This window comes from Homo sapiens, chromosome 16 (genome assembly GCF_000001405.40).
Source record: "Homo sapiens chromosome 16, GRCh38.p14 Primary Assembly".
In the NCBI taxonomy this organism is placed as follows: Eukaryota; Metazoa; Chordata; class Mammalia; order Primates; family Hominidae; genus Homo; species Homo sapiens.
Genome location: NC_000016.10, coordinates 15,549,910 through 15,567,398, shown reverse-complemented (window position 1 = coordinate 15,567,398; position 17,489 = coordinate 15,549,910). Strand labels below are relative to the sequence as shown.

At 46.2% G+C, this 17,489-nt stretch overlaps 2 protein-coding genes across 3 annotated transcripts in view, besides 1 other annotated feature; both read right to left on the bottom strand.

Annotated features, from left to right (window-relative positions):
• MPV17L-BMERB1 (MPV17L-BMERB1 readthrough) overlaps positions 1 to 17,489 on the bottom strand; it is a 192,506-nt gene that overhangs the window by 20,861 nt on the left and 154,156 nt on the right. The window lies entirely within an intron of this gene.
• BMERB1 (bMERB domain containing 1) overlaps positions 1 to 17,489 on the bottom strand; it is a 153,672-nt gene that overhangs the window by 20,861 nt on the left and 115,322 nt on the right. The window lies entirely within an intron of this gene.
• Positions 3,413 to 3,707: an enhancer, noted in NCBI's record as "tiled region #9672; HepG2 Activating non-DNase unmatched - State 18:Pol2, and K562 Activating DNase unmatched - State 5:Enh". NCBI's record gives its function as "activates a minimal TATA promoter and a strong SV40 promoter by Sharpr-MPRA in HepG2 and K562 cells {active_cell/tissue: HepG2 | K562}" and the evidence as "EXISTENCE:reporter gene assay evidence [ECO:0000049][PMID:27701403]".

The window sequence follows — 17,489 nt, the reverse complement described above, 5'->3', positions numbered from 1 at the left end:
TTATATAAGTGGGTTCATATGGCATATTCAGTTTCGTTTTTCAGCTAAAGTTTACGTTTTTTAAACACTGCAGAAATTCACAACATAGAGGAAAGTCTCCCTCTGTCCTTCGGAGAGAATCATTGTCAACGGTTTAGTATGTATTCCTCTGGATTTTTTAAAAACATTTTTATTTTGAAAATGTTTAATTTTTTATTTTTTATTTTTGGAGATAGAGTGTCGCTCTGTTGCCCAGGATGGAGTGCAGTGGCGTGATCATAGCTTACTGCAGACTTGAACTCCTGGGCTCAAGGGATCCTCCCACCTCTGCACAACCCCTCCCAACCCCAGCCCCCTACGGAGTAGCTGGGACTACAGGCTAATTTTTAAACAGTTTTTTGTAGAGAGAGGGACCTCGTTATGTTGCCCGGCTGGTCTTGGATTCCTGGCTTCAAGCAATCCTCCCACCTCAGCCTCTCAAAGTGCTGGGATATAGGTATGAGCCACTGCACCCAGCCTCCTCCAGATTTAAAAAAAAAGCGTATGCTTATAATATCATATATGACACCATTGTTATTGCACAAAAATTTTTTGCAATTTGCTTTTTTCAATTTAATAATCTTTAATAGTCTTGATCATCTTTCCATATCAGTATATGCAAATCTCCACATATTTAGTGGCTGCATAGTATACCATTATATTGATATACAGTCATCTATTTTTATTTTTTAAATTTATTTTTATTTTTATTTTTTTTAGACAGTCTCACTGTATCACCCAGGCTGGAGTGCAGTGGTGTGATCTTGGCTCACCGCAACCTCTGCCTCCCAGGTTCAAGTGATTCTCTGGCTTCAGCCTCCAGAGTAGCTAGTAGCTGGGATTACAGGCGTGAGCCACTGCACTCAGCTGATTATACAGTGATCTATTTAACTATAATTTATTTAACTATTCCCCTATTCATAGACATCTGGGTTGTTTCCTAATACATTTCTAGGATAGATTCATAGAAATGCAATTGCTGGGTCTAGTGGCATGAACACTTACATTGTAGTAGGAATTTCCAAATTGCCCTCCGGAGAGATCATGTGTGACATTACCAACAGTGTGGCCATGGGGGACAGTGGGTGCTGGCTCCTGTCATCTCAGTAATTGGGTTGCTTTTGCAACCTAGTTTTGCATTACACATTATAATTTTGCATTACACATTATGGTTTTGTGTGTGTGCTACAAAAATTAACTCATCTTGCTGTAAACAATATTTGTAATGGCTGTCTGCAATTTCACAAATGAGATTCATCGGGATTGTGCTAATTACACCCTCATCTTGATTACTAAGGCTGGCTTTTCAGGTTTGAGCAATTTTGGCCACTGCAGGATGAACATCAGTTCCTCTAAGGCTTCTTCTCCATGTTGGATTATTTGGGGTTTAGATTCTCAGAAGTGGAATCACTGTGTACAAAGGGCTTGATATTTCCATAGCTGTTGAGATGTATCTTCAAATAACTTCCCCGTGATACACAGGTTCACATTCACTCTGCGTGTCTTTGTCTTTGTTGTTCTTGTTTTGTTTTTTGAGACAGGGTCCTGCTGTATCACCCAAGGCACAGTCATAGCTCATTGCAGCCCTGAACTCCTGGGCTCAAGTGATCTTCCCACCTCAGCCTCTGAAGTAGCTGGCACTACAGCTGTGCAGCCATCATGCCCAGCTCATACTTTTTTTAATTTTTAAAATTTTCATAGAGATGGGGTCTTGCTGTTTACCAGGTTGGTCTTGAACTCCTGGCCTCAAGTGATCCTCCCGCCTTGGCCTTCCAAAGTGCTGGGATTACAGGCGTGAGCCACTGTACCTGGCCTGCACGTCTTTATTGAACATCTACTATGTTGGGCATTGTTGTCATCTCTGAGGCTTGCAACAGCAAAGAAGACCAAGCCCTCAGGAAGATGACATTTTGCTAGCAGAGACAGAAGGTAAACCCAAATACAATATTTCAGATGTTACAAAGAAGACTGAAGCAGGTAAGGGATGTAGTGGGTCAGCTTGGAGCCAGTATCTTACTTTGCTCCTGACAACTATCCTAGGAAAAACCAGAGGACAGAAATCATATTTTCATTTTACTCATGCGGAAACAGGTAAAGAGGCTCAACTGAGTACACACAGCTCATGGGGGCAGGACCAGAACTAGAAATCGACCCTTCGGAGTCTGAGTCCACTGATCTTTCTGCCTCGTTCCTCAGCGTCTCCATCAAGGGCCGGGGCTGCTGACTCCTTTCAGCAGTGCCATCTGTATACCAGCATGGGGCCCTATCTTAGTCCCCTGAGTGTTGCTATCAAGGAATGCCTGTGGCTGAGTGCTTTTTTTTTTTTTTGCATAAAGGAATATAAAACTATTTATTAACCACTGTTCACCAGTATTTACGATAAAGTAAACAATATACAGTTGGATAACATTCTGATTACTACAAAGTTGTTCTTCCTGGCTTTTGCTGAACCAGTAAAGCAAACTGAAGATTGAGGCTACATGTAAGGAATGAGCTGGGGTAAAGAAAAAACATGCAGGTCAGTAGGTTAGATTACAAAAGGTTGTTCACACATTTATGGCAGCAGGTCCTAAACTGCCAGCATCTCTAACCATCTGATTAGGTTTCTATGAGCCAAGTCTTACATATTCCATTCAACATGATCTTTTAGTCAATGTAGCAACAGGGATTTCAACATTTTGTTAAGGAATGGCCCACTAGGGAAATTTTTAAATATTCATTTAACTTAGTTTTGTTTAGCTAGTTAAAACACACTAGCATTTGTCTTGTTTTCTCATCTGGATGTGGAAACCTGCTGTGATGGCAGTGATAAAATTTTTCCTTTCAGGAATTTTGCAAATAAACCAATTATAGACGCTTTAAAATTATCCAATTTAAATTGTCCTATTTAGAATTACTTATTTCACTTGAAATGTATGGCTTCAGGAAAATTTTCAATTTACCTTGAAGTGATTATCTCTTATTTAGCTCGGAATAATGGCATCTCAGAAATATGGGTTTACCTGTGATTTTTTGTTTGGGTGAATGCTTAAAAACAAAAAAAAATTTATGTATGCATTTTATAGATACACACACACAAAAAAACATGTAAAAAATCTAGAATGGTCCTTAGGCTTATGGGAACACAAGTTTTGATTGAGTAATGACTATGGACATTTCCCCCAACATTTAGAAAAGCTGTTCTTTAATGAAGAGGAAATAATATCTTTATAAAGACAAGAGGTTTATTTGGCTCATGATTCTGCTGGCTGGAAGATGGGACATTTGGCATGGGCCTCAGGCTGGCTACATTCATAGAAGGTGAAAGGGAGCTCATGTGTGCAGAAGTCACAGGGCAAGAGTGGAAGCAAGAGAGAGGGGGAGGTGCCAGGCTTTTTTTAACAACCAGCTGTCCAGGAACTAAAAGAGTGAGAACTCACTCACCCCCACCTCCCAGGAAGAGCTTAATCTATTCATGGGGGATCCACCCCCGTGACCCAAACACCTCCCACTGGGGCCTATGATGTAGTTTGGATCTGTGTCCCTGCCCACATCTCATGTCAAATCATAATCCCCAGTGTTGGAGGAGGGGCCTGGGGGGAGGTGATTGGATCATGGGGGTGGACGTCTCCCTTGCTGTTCTCATGATAGTGAGTTCTCACGAGATCTGGTTGTTTAAGTGTGTGTAGCACCTCCCTCTTTGCTCTCTTGTTCCTTCTCCAGCCACGTAAGACTTCCCCTTCGCCTTCCATCATGATTGTAAGTTTCCTGAGGCCTCCCCAGCCATGCTTCCTGTACAGCCAGTGGAACTGCAAGTCAATTAAACTTCTTTTCTGTATAAATTACCCAATCTGAGGTAGCCTGTTTAAAAATTTTTTTTTCTGGCTGGGCACGGTGGCTCATACCTGTAATCCCAGCACTTTGGGAGGCCGAGGTGGGCAGATCACGAGGTCAGGAGATCGAGACCATCCTGTCTAACATGGTGAAACCCCGTCTCTACTAAAAATACGAAAAATTAGCCGGGCGTGGTGGTAGGCACCTGTAGTCCCAGCTACTCGGGAGGCTGAGGCAGGAGAATGTGTGAACCCAGGAGGCGGAGGTTGCAGCGGGCCAAGATTGCGCCACTGCACTGGGCAACAGAGCGAGTCTCCGTCCCAAAAAAAAATTTTTTTGTTTCTTTATAATAGAGATAGAGTTACACCATGTTGCCCAAGCTGGTTGCCAACTCCTTGGCTCAAGCAATCCACCCACTTCAGCCTCCCAAAGTGCTGGGATTACAGGCGTGAGCCACTGCGCCCGGCCTCAGGTAGTTCTTTATAGAAATGCGAGAACAGACTAATTTCAACATGAGATTTGGAGGAGACAGACATACAAACCACAGCAGGACCCCTTGCCTTTTGCCACTCAAGAACAACTCATGCTGTCCATTCTAATGCCAGCATCCCAGTTTCAGGACAAGAGGCAGGAATGCCTTGCTTCAGCCTGCATCTCTTGTTGTCAGAGGCACGCCAAGCATTTTTCAAGTCGTGCCCTGGAATGTCCTAGCAGGTGACAGCTGCCTCGAATGAGCGTGGACTTGCCGGGAGGGCACAGACTGTTCCCGTGAGTTTCTATCAGCGATCGTTCAACTGGAGAGACTCCAGACGCTTTTGCAGAGATCAGGCTACATCAGGGCAATCTTGGTCCCCAGGAACATTTGGCAATGCCTGGAGACATATTTGGTTATTATAATTGAGTGTGTGTTGGGGAGGGGTGTGGTTGCTACTGGCATCTAGTGGGTAGAGACCAGGGACACTGCTAAACATCCTACTGTGCACAGAACAGCTCCCACAACAGAAAGTGAGCCAGCCACCATGTCAATCACACTGAAGTTGAGGAATCTTGGATTCTAACCACAGAATTATCAAATTATTGATAATTTTTGAGAGGTAAGAGAGGAGAAGATGGAGAAAGGACAAAAGGAGAGACAGGTAGTGATTAGGAGGCAGAGTTTTGGCACCAAACAACTCTGGCTCAAAGGGCCATGGTACAGTGACTTCCTTTTCTGTCTCACCTAACTCATTTTTAATTATTTATTTATGTTTTTTTTTTTTTTTTTGAAAAAGAGTTTTGCTCTCGTTGCCTAGGCTGGAGTGCAATGGCGCGATCTTGGCTCATTGCAACCTTTGCCTCCCGGGTTCAAGTGATTCTCCTACCTAAGCCTTCCAAGTAGCTGAGATTACAGGCATGCACCACCAGGCCCAGCTAATTTTTTTTTTTTTGGACGAGATTTCACCATGTTGATCAGGCTGGTCTCGAACACCTGATCTCAGGTGATCCACCTGCCTCAGCTTCCCAAAGTGCTGGGATGATAGGCGTGAGCCACCGCACCTAGCCGTCATGTTTTAAATAGGAATAATGGCAGTACTATTTGCTGGGATTATTATGCACATCAAGCATTAAGCACAGTGCCTGGGACCTACACAGTCAAATGCCCAGTAAATGCTATCTACTATTATTATGTTTTTTAGAGACAGGGTCTAGCTCTATCACCCAGGCTGGAGTTCAGCAGTGCAATCATAGCTCACTGCAGCTTCGAACGCCAGGGGTAAAAGGATTTGCCTGCCTCAGCCTTCCAAGTAGCTAGGACTTTAGGCATATGCCCCTACACTCAGCTAATTTTTAAATTTTTTGTAGAGACAGAATCTTGCCATGTTGGCCAAGATGGTCTAGAACTCCTAGCCTCAAGCGATCCTCCCATGTCAGCCTCCCAAAGCACTGGGATTACAGGCATGAGCCACCACCCTTGGCCTTTACTATTATTATCATTAGCTGTGAGAAAGAAGCAGAGAATGGCTGGGTGGGGTGGCTCACACCTGTAATCCCAGCACTTTGGGAGGCCGAGGTGGAAGGATCACTTGAAGTCAGGAGTTCAAGACCAGCCTGGCCAACGTGGTGAGACCCTTTCTCTACTAAAAATATAAAAATTAGCCAGGTGTGGTGGCACATGCCTGTAATCCCCAGTTCTCAGGAGGCTGAAGCAGGAGAATCGCTTGAACCCAGGAGGCAGAGGTTGCAGTGAGTCAAGATCATGCCACTGCACTCCAGCCTGGCCAACAGAGTGAGACTCCTTCTCCCAAAAAAAAAAAAAAAAAAAAAAAAAAAATGGCCGGCGTGGTGGCTCACACCTGTAATCCTAGCAGTTTGGAAGGCTGAGGTGGGCAGGTCACAAGGTCAAGAGATCAAGACCATCCTGGCCAACTTGGTGAAATCCTGTCTCTACTAAAAATACAAAAATTAGCCGGGCATGGTTGGTAGTGGGCGCCTGTAATCCCAGCTACTCAGGAAGCTGAGGCAGGAGAATACTTGAACCCAGGAGGCAGAGATTGCGGTGAGCTGAGATCGTGCCACTGCACTCCAGCCTGGCAACAGAGCGAGACTCCGTCTCAAAAAAAAAAAAAAAAAAAAAAGCAGCAGAGAAAAAAGGAAAGAGAAAATGATGTGGAAGAAGCACTATTTCTGAGGAATGGAGCTAACAAGTAAAACCTTTTTAAAAATAACTTTCAGTGCTTATACTCTTCTTTGTAAAAGTTTTTATTTTTATTTATTTATTTTATTTTATTTTATTTTGAGATGGAGTCTGGCTCTGTCACCCAGGCTGGAATGCAGTGGCACAATCTCAGCTCACTGCAATCTCTGCCTCCTGGGCTCAAGCCATCCTCCCTCCTCAGCCTCCAGAGTAGCTGGGACTACAGGGAGGCGCCACCACACCTGGAGAATTTTTTGTATTTTTGGTAGAGAAGGGGTTTTGCCATGTTGCCCAGGCTGGTCTCAAACTCCTGGACTCAAGCAATCCACCCACCTCAGCCTCCCAAAGTGCTGGGATTACAGGCATGAGCCACTATGCCTGGCCAATAAAAGTTTGTAAATGGCAATTTTATCTGATTATAGAATGGATCCCTAATCATTGTAGAAATTTTGGAAAATACAAACAAGTACAAAGAAGGAAGATGAAAGTATGCAGAACCTTGACCTACGTGTAGCAGAGGCCACTTCTACTCCGAGGGTTCTGGTGTATTTCACAGCAATCTTTTTCCTCCATGTAACCTAAGGGTGGCGGGCATGCCCTGGGGGCCTTTGCCCTGGCCCTTTGTCCACCTCCAAGGCTGCCCTTAGCATGTCATTGAATCCTCCCAAAAGATCCAAGCCCACAACCCATTGACAAGCGAGGTGGAGCTCTACAGAACTGCTGACGGGATTCACGCTGCAGGACTCCATCAACGTCCCTATGAGATGGCTCTGTTTTCCTCATGTCTCATCTCTTCTCTCTCTCTCTCTACCTCCTCCACACACCTTCCGCTAAAGGAGGACCATCAGGTCCTAAATCAAGCTTGTCCAAATTAGGCCCAGGATGGCTTTTGAAGGCAGCCCAACACAAATTTGTAAACCTTTTTAAAACATGAGATTTTTTTTGTGTGTGATTTTTTTTTTAAGCTCATCAGCTATTGTTACTATAAGTGTATTTTATGTGTGGTCCAAGACAATTCTTCCAATGTGGCCCAGGGAAGACAAAAGATTGGACACCCCTGTCCTGAATTACTCAGCTCTGTTCTTCAACTTACAAACCCCAGTTGGCAAAACCAAAAGCTTCATGGTCCTTTGAACATCCTTCCAAGAAAGAAGCTTGTCCCCCGACCCCAAGCTGTCCATCAGGGTTAGGTGTCCATTCACGTAACTAAAAATCAAGTCTTTTTCTGGAATATGGAAGGATGGGTTCTGCCATTAAGGCAAACAAGAAGTCAGCATTTACGGAGCATTTACATGTAAATGCACTTTCTGTGCATAAACTCTTCTAGACCGTCACAGCAGTCCAGGAAGAGAAACATTGTTTTTAGCTCTATTTTACAGATGAGTACATGGAGGTTAAGCAACACACCCAAAGCTCTGCACTGGTAAGTGGCCTTCCAGATTCAGCCCTAGCTCCTGCTCTTGACAATTTCACCGTGTTGTCTCCTCTCCATGTGGCTCCATGAGTTGCAGCGGGCATGACTGGTTGTAGACCTTCCCCTCCCGCTTTCTCCCAGAGCTCTGATTTGTCCAGGAGGCAACCTGCCCTGCCTTGATGGAAGCCAGTCACAGAATCCCATTTGCTTTGGCTAGACACATACTTTTCCAGGCTCTCTTGCAAGTGGAGGTAGCTATGACATCTACTCTGGGCCAATGAAATGTAAGAGAACAACTTTAAGCAACCATTACCATAGTCACGTATGTGTCATAGTGCCATATAGGTGACATATGACATATATGTAACATAATGACATATAGTGACATATATAAGGAAGCCAGTGGAGGGTTTAGTTAAATATCATTTGGCTGCTTGACTTTTAGCTATATAAGTTTTAAGATCAGCTAGAAGTAAGTGGTTAAAAGCAAGCAAGGCAAGTTAAGTTTGGTGGGCTTAGAGAAAGCCCTTAAGAGAAACTCCGCTTGGGCAGGCTTCTGGGAAGGATAATTAGGGCCTTCGGTTCTCCCCTGTCCTGGTCCTAAGCTCCTACAGCCACTCACGTGAGAATGGCGAAACCGAACGCTAACCTGATGAAGCCCACCAAACTTAACTTGCCTTGCTTGCTTTTAACCACTTACTTCTAGCTGGTCTTAAAACTTATATAGCTAAAAGTCAAGCAGCCAAATGATATATACCTAACCCCCCCACCGGCTTCCTTACATATGTCACTATATGTCATTATGGTACATATATGTCATATGTCACATATATGTCGCTACGACACATATGTGACTACGGTAATGGTTGCTTAAAGTTGTTTTTCAGGACTATGGGGGCAGCTCCTGTCCAGTTCGAACCCGTTGAGATCAATGACCCTTCAACTGAACCTGTGCAAATGCCGGAGAAGTGACCTTTTGACGTCAGAGGGCCCAAAACTCCCCGAGATCATGCTAATGCTGCCATTTTCTAAACATGCACCCTATGAAGATCCAGGAAGCTTGGCTATGTATGTGCAGATTGCCAATGACCTCACTTTTCCTTGCCTCCAATCACCTCTTCCCACACTTTAGACCACCCTGCTCCTTTATTCCATAAAGATCCCTAAATTCCATCTTCAGGGAGGCAAGTATGAGACCTTTTCTCCTGCCTCCTTGCTTGGCTGCGTTGGTGTGAATAAATTCTTTTCTTTTGCCAAATCCATCATAACAGCGATTGGCTTACTACCCATGGGCAGAAGGGGACAGGTTCGCTATCTAGGGCAGAGGGGAGGAAAGGAAACAGCCAGACCCTTGATAGCATCCTGGGGCCACCCCACTGACCCTCGGGCCACCTGCATCTGGACTGCTTATCAAGTCAAAAAAAATTTTTTTTTTTGAGACGGAGTCTAGCTCTGTTGCCCAGGCTGGAGTGCAGTGGCATGATCTCGGCTCACTGCAACCTCCGCCTCACAGGTTGAAGCCATTCTCTGCCTCAGCTTCCCGAGTAGCTGGGATTACAGGCATCCACCACCAAGCCTGGCTAATTTTTGTATTTTTAGGAGAGATGGAGTTTCACCATCTTGGCCAGGCTGGTCTTGAACTCCTTACCTCGTGATCCACCTGCCTCAGCCTCCGAAAGTGTTGGGATTACAGGTGTGAGCCACTGTGTCCAGCCTCAAGTAAATATTAAATGTCCTTATGACTTAAGTAGTGTGAACAACTGACTTGGTTTGCCTGGGGCTGTCCCAGTTTCTGCACTGCAGTTTCCAGATCCTTGGAAACCTCTCAGTCCCAGGCAAACAGAGACAGCTGGTCACCCAAGATTTAAGACACTAGTCGTCGGACGCTGTGTTACTTGCAGCTGAAGACATTTTCACAGATACATATGTGTGGATAGGTGCATTTTTAATGTGTATTGGATCAAGACATACAGCTGTCCTGCTCATTGCAAGCATGACATCATGATGATTTTCCAATGCCATTAAATCATATTGTTCAAAAGACATGTGAATAGTTCATGCAAAGTGCTTTAAAAGCATAGCTGGAAGTTCGAATAAGCCATGCTTTAGAAGCATGGCTGGAACTTTGAATAAGCCACATTAGTCCAGGTCTCTGTACCATTAGGGCTGAACCTGGAAATCAAACTCTGCTGCTGCCGGCTCGTTCCAGAGAGAGATGTTATCTTCAAGAACCTGATTAATGTTCGGAAGGAAAAGAAAGCCAACCCGTGTCATTCAGCATCTTGGTCTTTCACGCTGGGACGATAGGGGAAAGCGGGTCATTTTTATCAGCGTTGGGTGCGGAGAGGTGATCAGGCCCTGCTGGAATAATAGAGCTGCTGCTTTACAAAATGTTTGTGAAAACGACATGAAATGGAGGCATCAGCAGCTTGAGTTGCAGCCTAATGGAAACCCAGCAGAGACCACGACAAAGGCAGAGGTAGGTTTTCAGAGGCAAGGATTGACTTTTAAAAATAGTCTTTATTGTCTCCTTTTAAAAATAAGTTACAGAGGCTGCAGGTATCTTAAGACAGGTGAGAAAAAGATGTCATGTCTGGGCCGGGCGCGGTGGCTCACGCCTGTAATCCCAGCACTTTGGGAGGCCGAGGAGGGCGGATCACGAGGTCAAGAAATCGAGACCAGCCTGGCCAACATGGTGAAACCCTGTCTCTACTAAAAATACAAAAATTAGCTGGGCGTGGTGGCACGTGCTTGTAGTCCTAGCTACTCAGGAGGCTGAGGCAGGAGAATCACTTGAACCTGGGAGGTGGAGGTTGCAGTGAGCCGAGATTGCACCACTGCACTCCAGCCTGGCAACAGAGCGAGACTCCGTCTCAATAAATAAATAAATAAATAAAAATAAATAAATAAGATGAGGGGTTTAGATGAGCCCTCGAGCCCCATTCTGCAAGCACAGAGAGGATACAACCCGCTTTAGACACAGCCAGATCTCAATGCAGATCTCAGTACCCCCATTGACTGGCTATGACCTACTTTGCTGCTCTCAGCCTCAGTGCTGTCACTGTTGAAAAGGGATTACACCTTTGTCTTGGGGTTGTATGAGAATCAAACAGGCTTGTGTGTGTGGTGCAGGCAGCCCACGGTTTTGCACAGGCAGTGTGGGTGTGTAGGAACAGCCACTTCCATCCACTCCTCCACCCTAGGTAAAAAGTCAGCTCACAGAGACTCTCCTGGACTATCTCAGCCAACATTTCTGTGCAAAATGTGTATCTCACTATCACATGCTATTTTTTTTTTTTTTGAGATGGAGTTTCGCTCTTGTCGTCCAGGCTGTAGTGCAATGGCGGGATCTTGGCTCACTGCAACCTCACCTCCCAGGTTCAGGCGATTCTCCTGCCTCAGCCTCCCAAGTAGCTGAGATAACAGGCACTTGCCACCATGCCCAGCAAATTTTTGTATTTTGGTAGAGAGGGGATTTCACTATGTTGGCCAGGCTGGTCTCGAACTCCTGACCTCAGGTGATCCACCCGCCTCAGCTTCCCAAAGTGCTGGGATTACAGGCATGAGCCACCGCGCCTGGCCAGCATGTGCTATTACAATTTCCTCAAATCAAATGGTTCCAAGATGATAAACATGTGCATTGGTTCAGCTTTCGTAGGATTCATGAGCTTAAACGCTATCCCTGGGTAAGGATAAGTGTTGATAAGTGTCCAGGGAGCCCCTGGCCTCAGCAATTTCTCAGCATCTTGCTGGGGACCAAGGGACCGGAGAGGTGCCTGCCAGTGTACATAGGAAGGGAATGCCCTCATGTTGCACCCTGGAAGGCCAATATGTCTGTTTTCTCTCTGTGGCCATTTTAATGGACTGTGGATTTACATCCACCTGTCACACTGGCCTTTCCTTTGATTGCAGTCAGACACTCGTTCCCAAACAAATGTCACCTTCTTCAAGACCCTTGTTCCCACTCTGTTCCCAAATGTCAACTTCCTCAAGCGCAGTTTATTCTTCTCTCTTCCAAGGGCTTTCTAGACTGCCTTAGTTTTCATTTTTCTTACAATAACAACTACTAATACTGCTCTTTTCTGTATGTATGATATAAAAAAATTATGGCCAGGCACAGTGGCTCATGCCTGTAATCCCAGTACTTTGAGGCTGAGATGGGAGGATCGATAGAGTCCAGGAGTTCGAGATTAGCCTAGGCAACATAGCGAGACTCTGTCTCTACACAATAAAAAAATTAGCTATGCCTGGTGGTGTGTACCTGTGGTTCCAGCTACCAGAGAGGCTGAGGTAGGAGGATCACTTCAGCCCAGGAGGTTGAGCTCCTGGGTGAGCCATGATCACACCACTGTACTCCAACCTGGGAGGCAAGGATTGACTTTTGAAAATAGTCAATTTTCTTGACGTGGGTTTCCAGCTGTCTGCCTTGACAGAGTGAGACCCTGTCTCAAAACAAACAAACACCAGTATTGCTTAGTTACCTTTGTTTTAGACCTAAAAGAATACTTGCTCCTGGCCGGGCACGGTGGCTCAAGTCTGTAATCCCAGCACTTTGGGAGGCCGAGGCGGGCGGATCACAAGGTCAGGAGATCGAGACCATCCTGGCTAACACGGTGAAACCCTGTCTCTACTGAAAATACAAAAAATCAGCCGGGCGTGGTGGCGGGCACCTGTAGTCCCAGCTACTTGGGAGGCTGAGGCAGGAGAATGGCGTGAACCTGGGAGGTGGAGCTTGCAGTGCGCTGAGATCATGCCACTGCACTGCAGCATGGGCGACAGAGCGAGACACCATCTAAAAAAAAAAAGAAAAAAAAAAGAATACTTGGTCCTTTTTTTTTTCTTTTTTAGAGGCAGGGTCTTACTATATTGCCCAGGCTGGACTTGAACTCCTGGGCTTAAGGGATCCTCCTGCTTCAGCCTCCCAAGTAGCTGGGAACACAGGCATATACCACCACACCCAGCTTGGTCTATTTAAAAAATTATACAAATATTACATAAATATGGTCTCACTATAAAAACATCAAACAATACAGAAGTATAATTGCTAGTACTTATTGAATGCTTTCATATGATTGGTGTCAGGCTCTGGATTAAGCATTTTACACAAATCATCTCAGTGAACTCTTGCAGCAACTCTATGAGGTAAGGACTATTATTATTATCTCTTAGACAGGATAAAGAACTTGTTCAACGTCACAGAGTAAGTGGTAGGAACTTGAACTCGGGCAGTCTGATCTGAGCCCATGCTCTCGACTGGGACTGTGAAAGCTCCAGCCAGTGACTGGAGTTCAAGGAAGACAGAGATCAGGATAGTCTGGGAGAAGGCTGCTCAAATCGAGATGCAACTTACAGGGGAGGGCACAACTTGGAGGGGTCAGGAAAAGATTCCAGGCACTCAGAGAGAAGGGGGAGCTGAGACAAATATTAGGAATGGGTGTGGTATGCCAGGGTAGGTGACAATGAAGAGTCTGCCCAATTAGGACATATCAGGGACATATGTGTCTGCGTTGTAAAGAACCTTAACATGGGAGCCATCTTAGGTTCTAGAGTGAGAGCATGGCATGGAGATGTGTCTATGAAACCCAGTTTGGAAGACATGGTGATCAGTATTTCCACACCAAGGAGAGAGTGCACTCTCCCTTTGACCTTCTGTCTAAGACGATCCAAGGAATTCCTGGAAGATGCGTTTGCTCCTCAATCTTTAGCTGGGGTTGGCAAACTATAGCCCACAGTCAAAATCTGGCCCACTGCCTGTTTTGGTACAACTCACGAACTAAGAATAGTTTAATTTTCATTTTTAAATACTTGGGGAAAATCAAAATCATAACATTTTCTGATAAATGAAAATTATATGAAATTCAAAGTTCAGCATCTGTGAATAACATGCTATTGGAACGAAGTCATGTCCATTCATTTCAGCATTGTCTGTGGCTGTTTTTCCCGACAGTGGCAGAGGTGAGTAATCACGACAGAGACTGTACACTCTGTAGAGCCTAAGGTGTTTAGTACTTGGCCCTTTACAGAAATATTTTGCTGAACTTACAGGAGTGTAATCATAGCTCACTGCAGCCTTGACCTCCTGGCTAGAGCAATCCTCCTGCCTCAGCCTTCCAAGTAGTTGGGACTACAGGCGCATGCCACCACGCCTTGGTAATTTTAAAAAAACGTTTTGGGCCAGGCACGGTGGCTCATGCCTGTAGTCACAGCACTTCGGGAGGCCGAGGCAGGTGGATCAATTCAGGTCACGAGTTCAAGACCAGCCTAGCCAACATGGCGAAACTCCATCTCTACTAAAAATACAAAAACTAGCCGGGCATGGTGGTGCATGCCTGTGATCCCAGTTACTCGGGAAGCCGAGGCAGGAGAATTGCTTGAACCTGGGAGATGGAGGTTTCAGTGAGCTGAGATCGTACCACTGAACTCCAGCCTGGGCAACAGAGTGAGACTCCATCTCAAAAAAAATGTCTGGTAGAGATGGGGGTCTCACTATGTTGCTCAGGCTGGTCTCAAACTCCTGGGCTGAAGCCATTCTCCTGCCTTGGCCTCCCAAAGTACTGAGATAACAGGGGTGAGCCACTGTGCCTGGCTCTAAAGAAATTTCTGCAGCTAGAAGAGCTCTCACCTTACATGAATGAAGAAATCAATGCCCAGAGAGGTGAATGCTGTTCACCAATTCACTGACTCATCCAGAAAACAGTTCTTGAGCGCCTACTACGTGTCAGCCCTCCTGATCTATTTTCACTTTCAAGAGACATTGAGACATAGGCCAGCTACCAAGGCCATGTGGCGAGACAGCAGGGCTCTTCCCACCCCACTGCTTCGACTGAGACCAGAGCTTGTTTTCTTCTCTGGGCTCTGGCAGGGAACTGGGCCGTGCCCAGTGCATGCAAGGTTGGCCAACAGATTTCCTGCACCTGCTCACTGATGCTACCTGGCAGTTTCTGGGACCGCACTTAGCCCTCTGCACATCCTTCACTCCTTTGAAGGAGACAGTAAGTGTTGTGAGTTCATTTCTTCTTCTTCTTCTTCTTTTTTTTTTTGAGATGGAGTCTCGTTCTGTCGCCCAGGCCGGAGTGCAGTGGTGCAATCTCAGCTCACTGCAACCTCTGCCTCCCAGGTTCAAGCAATCCTCGTGCCTCAGCCTCCTGAGTAGCTGGGATTACAGGGGCACACCACCATACCCTGCTAATTTTTGTATTTTCAGTAGAGACGGGGTTTCACCATGTTGACGAGGCTGGTCTTGAACTCCTGACCTCAAGTGATCCACCCACCTCGGCCTCCCAAAGTGCTGGGATTACAGGTGTGAGCCACCGCGTCCACTTGTTATTTTTGATTTTTTTTCCCCCAGACTCTTACCAGTGCCTAGAATGAGACACATAGTCCTTCCCTTGGAGGGCCCAGCGAGCTGTGAAGTGGATAGAAGACTGGCCCTTGGTGTCCCTAACCCTACCCCTAAGGCCTTTGGCTAAGCTGGCCCAGAATAATTAAAGATGTGAACAGAGATTAAGCTCCAGGTGGGCACAGCAGCTCCTGCCTGTTATCCCAGAACTAAGGGAGGCCGAGGCAGGAGGATCGCTTGAGTGCAGGAGTTCAAGAGAGCTGCTGGTTTTAAATGTGGCACTTCCTACACTCATTTTCTCTTGTGCTGTCTCTCTCCTGCCGCCACGTAAGACGTGCTTGCTTTCCCTTCGCCGTCTGCCATGACTGCAAGTTTCCTGAGGCCTCCCCAGCCATGCAGAACTGTGAGTCAATTAAACTTCTTTCCTTTATAAATGACCCAGTCTCGGGTAGTATCTTTACAGCAGTGTCAGAACAGACTGGTACACAGCCCATGTGCATCCCTGTGTAAAGCCTGGCCCCAAGGAGTTCTCTTGAACTCCTGCACTCAAGCCTTTGCCCAACTCCTCCCTCAGCTCAGAAATCTTTGTCTCAAACTAAGTGCTCTGCAGCTTCACTAATCCCTTCTCCTTCTGGAATCTTCCTGATGCCCTCAGCTACATCAGGTCCTCTTCCTTCCTGCAGCCATAGCCCCCTTGTTATCCCATTGACATCTAGGCATTCCAGAACCATCTAGGCATTTGTGTTTCTGCCTCAACAGACTGCACCTCCTTTAAGGGACTTTGCCTTTTTCCTTCATGGTTCTAGCACACCACCCCGTCCCTGATACATTGCAGTAAATACACAAGGAAGGAAGGAAGGCTGGCAGGCATGGAGGGTACACACAGTACTGCATTTTGTTGAAACAAGGCCTAAAGACTGCAGGTGCAGGTGGAAAAATTTCAAGTCTCATGATAGACACCACGAGGGCAATCGCATCTATCAAAGGCGGTGAGTCAGCCCTGGAGAAATCCAATTAAACATCCGTCATTCGAGTGATACTGCTTTGCATTCTGCTATCAATACCGTTTCTATTCTGAGCTGGCTCAGCATCTGGGCTCTCTTGTGCCTTCCACTCTCAGTCACCTGCTGCGAGTTCCTGCCACTGTGTGGCGTCCTCTCCCCCAAATCCACCCTCTCCACTCCCAAGTCCATCCCTCCTCTCAAGCTGATGCCAACAAAAGCTGATTTGTATCCAGCCCAATCTCATTGAATCCTCATCATCTGTAGGGTGGTATTCTTATTCTCCACTTTACAGAACTCTCAGAGAGGTTAAGTAAATCGCCCGAGATCAGACAGCTTGCAAGATTTGAAAGAAGACAGTCTAACTCCAGAGCCCTGACAATTGCCACTACAACAGACTGCCTACGCATGTCACCCAGATATACCAGGCTGTCATCTTCTGTTCCCATACCCCCTTACTTTATCCCGTTCTTTCAGTCAGGAGCCTTCTAAAATGCTTTCAGGCCGGGCGCGGTGGCTCATGCCTGTAATCCCAGCACTTTGGGAGGCTGAGGCAGGCAGATCACTTGAGCTCAGGAGTTTGAGATCAGCCTGGGCAATACGGTGAAACCCCGTCTCTACTTAAAAAAAAAAAAAAAAATTAGCCAGGCATGGTGGTGGGCACCTGTAGTCCCAGCAACTTGCGGGGCTGAGGTGGGAGGATCGCTTGAACCTGGGAGGCAGAGGTTGCAGTGAGCTGAGATTGTGCCACTGCACTCTGGCCTGGGTGACAGAGTGAGACTTTCACCAGTGGCAGTTCCAAGGAGTGGGCTTTCTTAGGGATGGCAGGGAATGGTTTCAGTCCCACCTCGTAATTTCCATTAGCCTTCAAACCACCTCAACATTTAAAAAGTGCTTTTGGGCCGGGCGCGGTGGCTCACACCTGTAATCCCAGCACTTCGGGAGGCCGAGGCGGGGTGGATCACGAGGTCAGGAGATAGAGACCATCCTGGCTAACACAGTGAAACCCTGTCTCTACTAAAAAACACAAAAAATGGTGGTAGGTGCTTGTAGTCCCAGCTACTCGGGAAGCTGAGGCAGGAGCATGGCGTGAACCCGGGAGGTGGAGCTTGCAGTGAGCCGAGATGGCACCACTGCACTCCAGCCTGGGCGACAGAGCAAGACTGCATCTCAAAAAAAAAAACGTGCTTTTGAAATGGGAAATATCAGGTAGGATAGAAGCAATAAGAG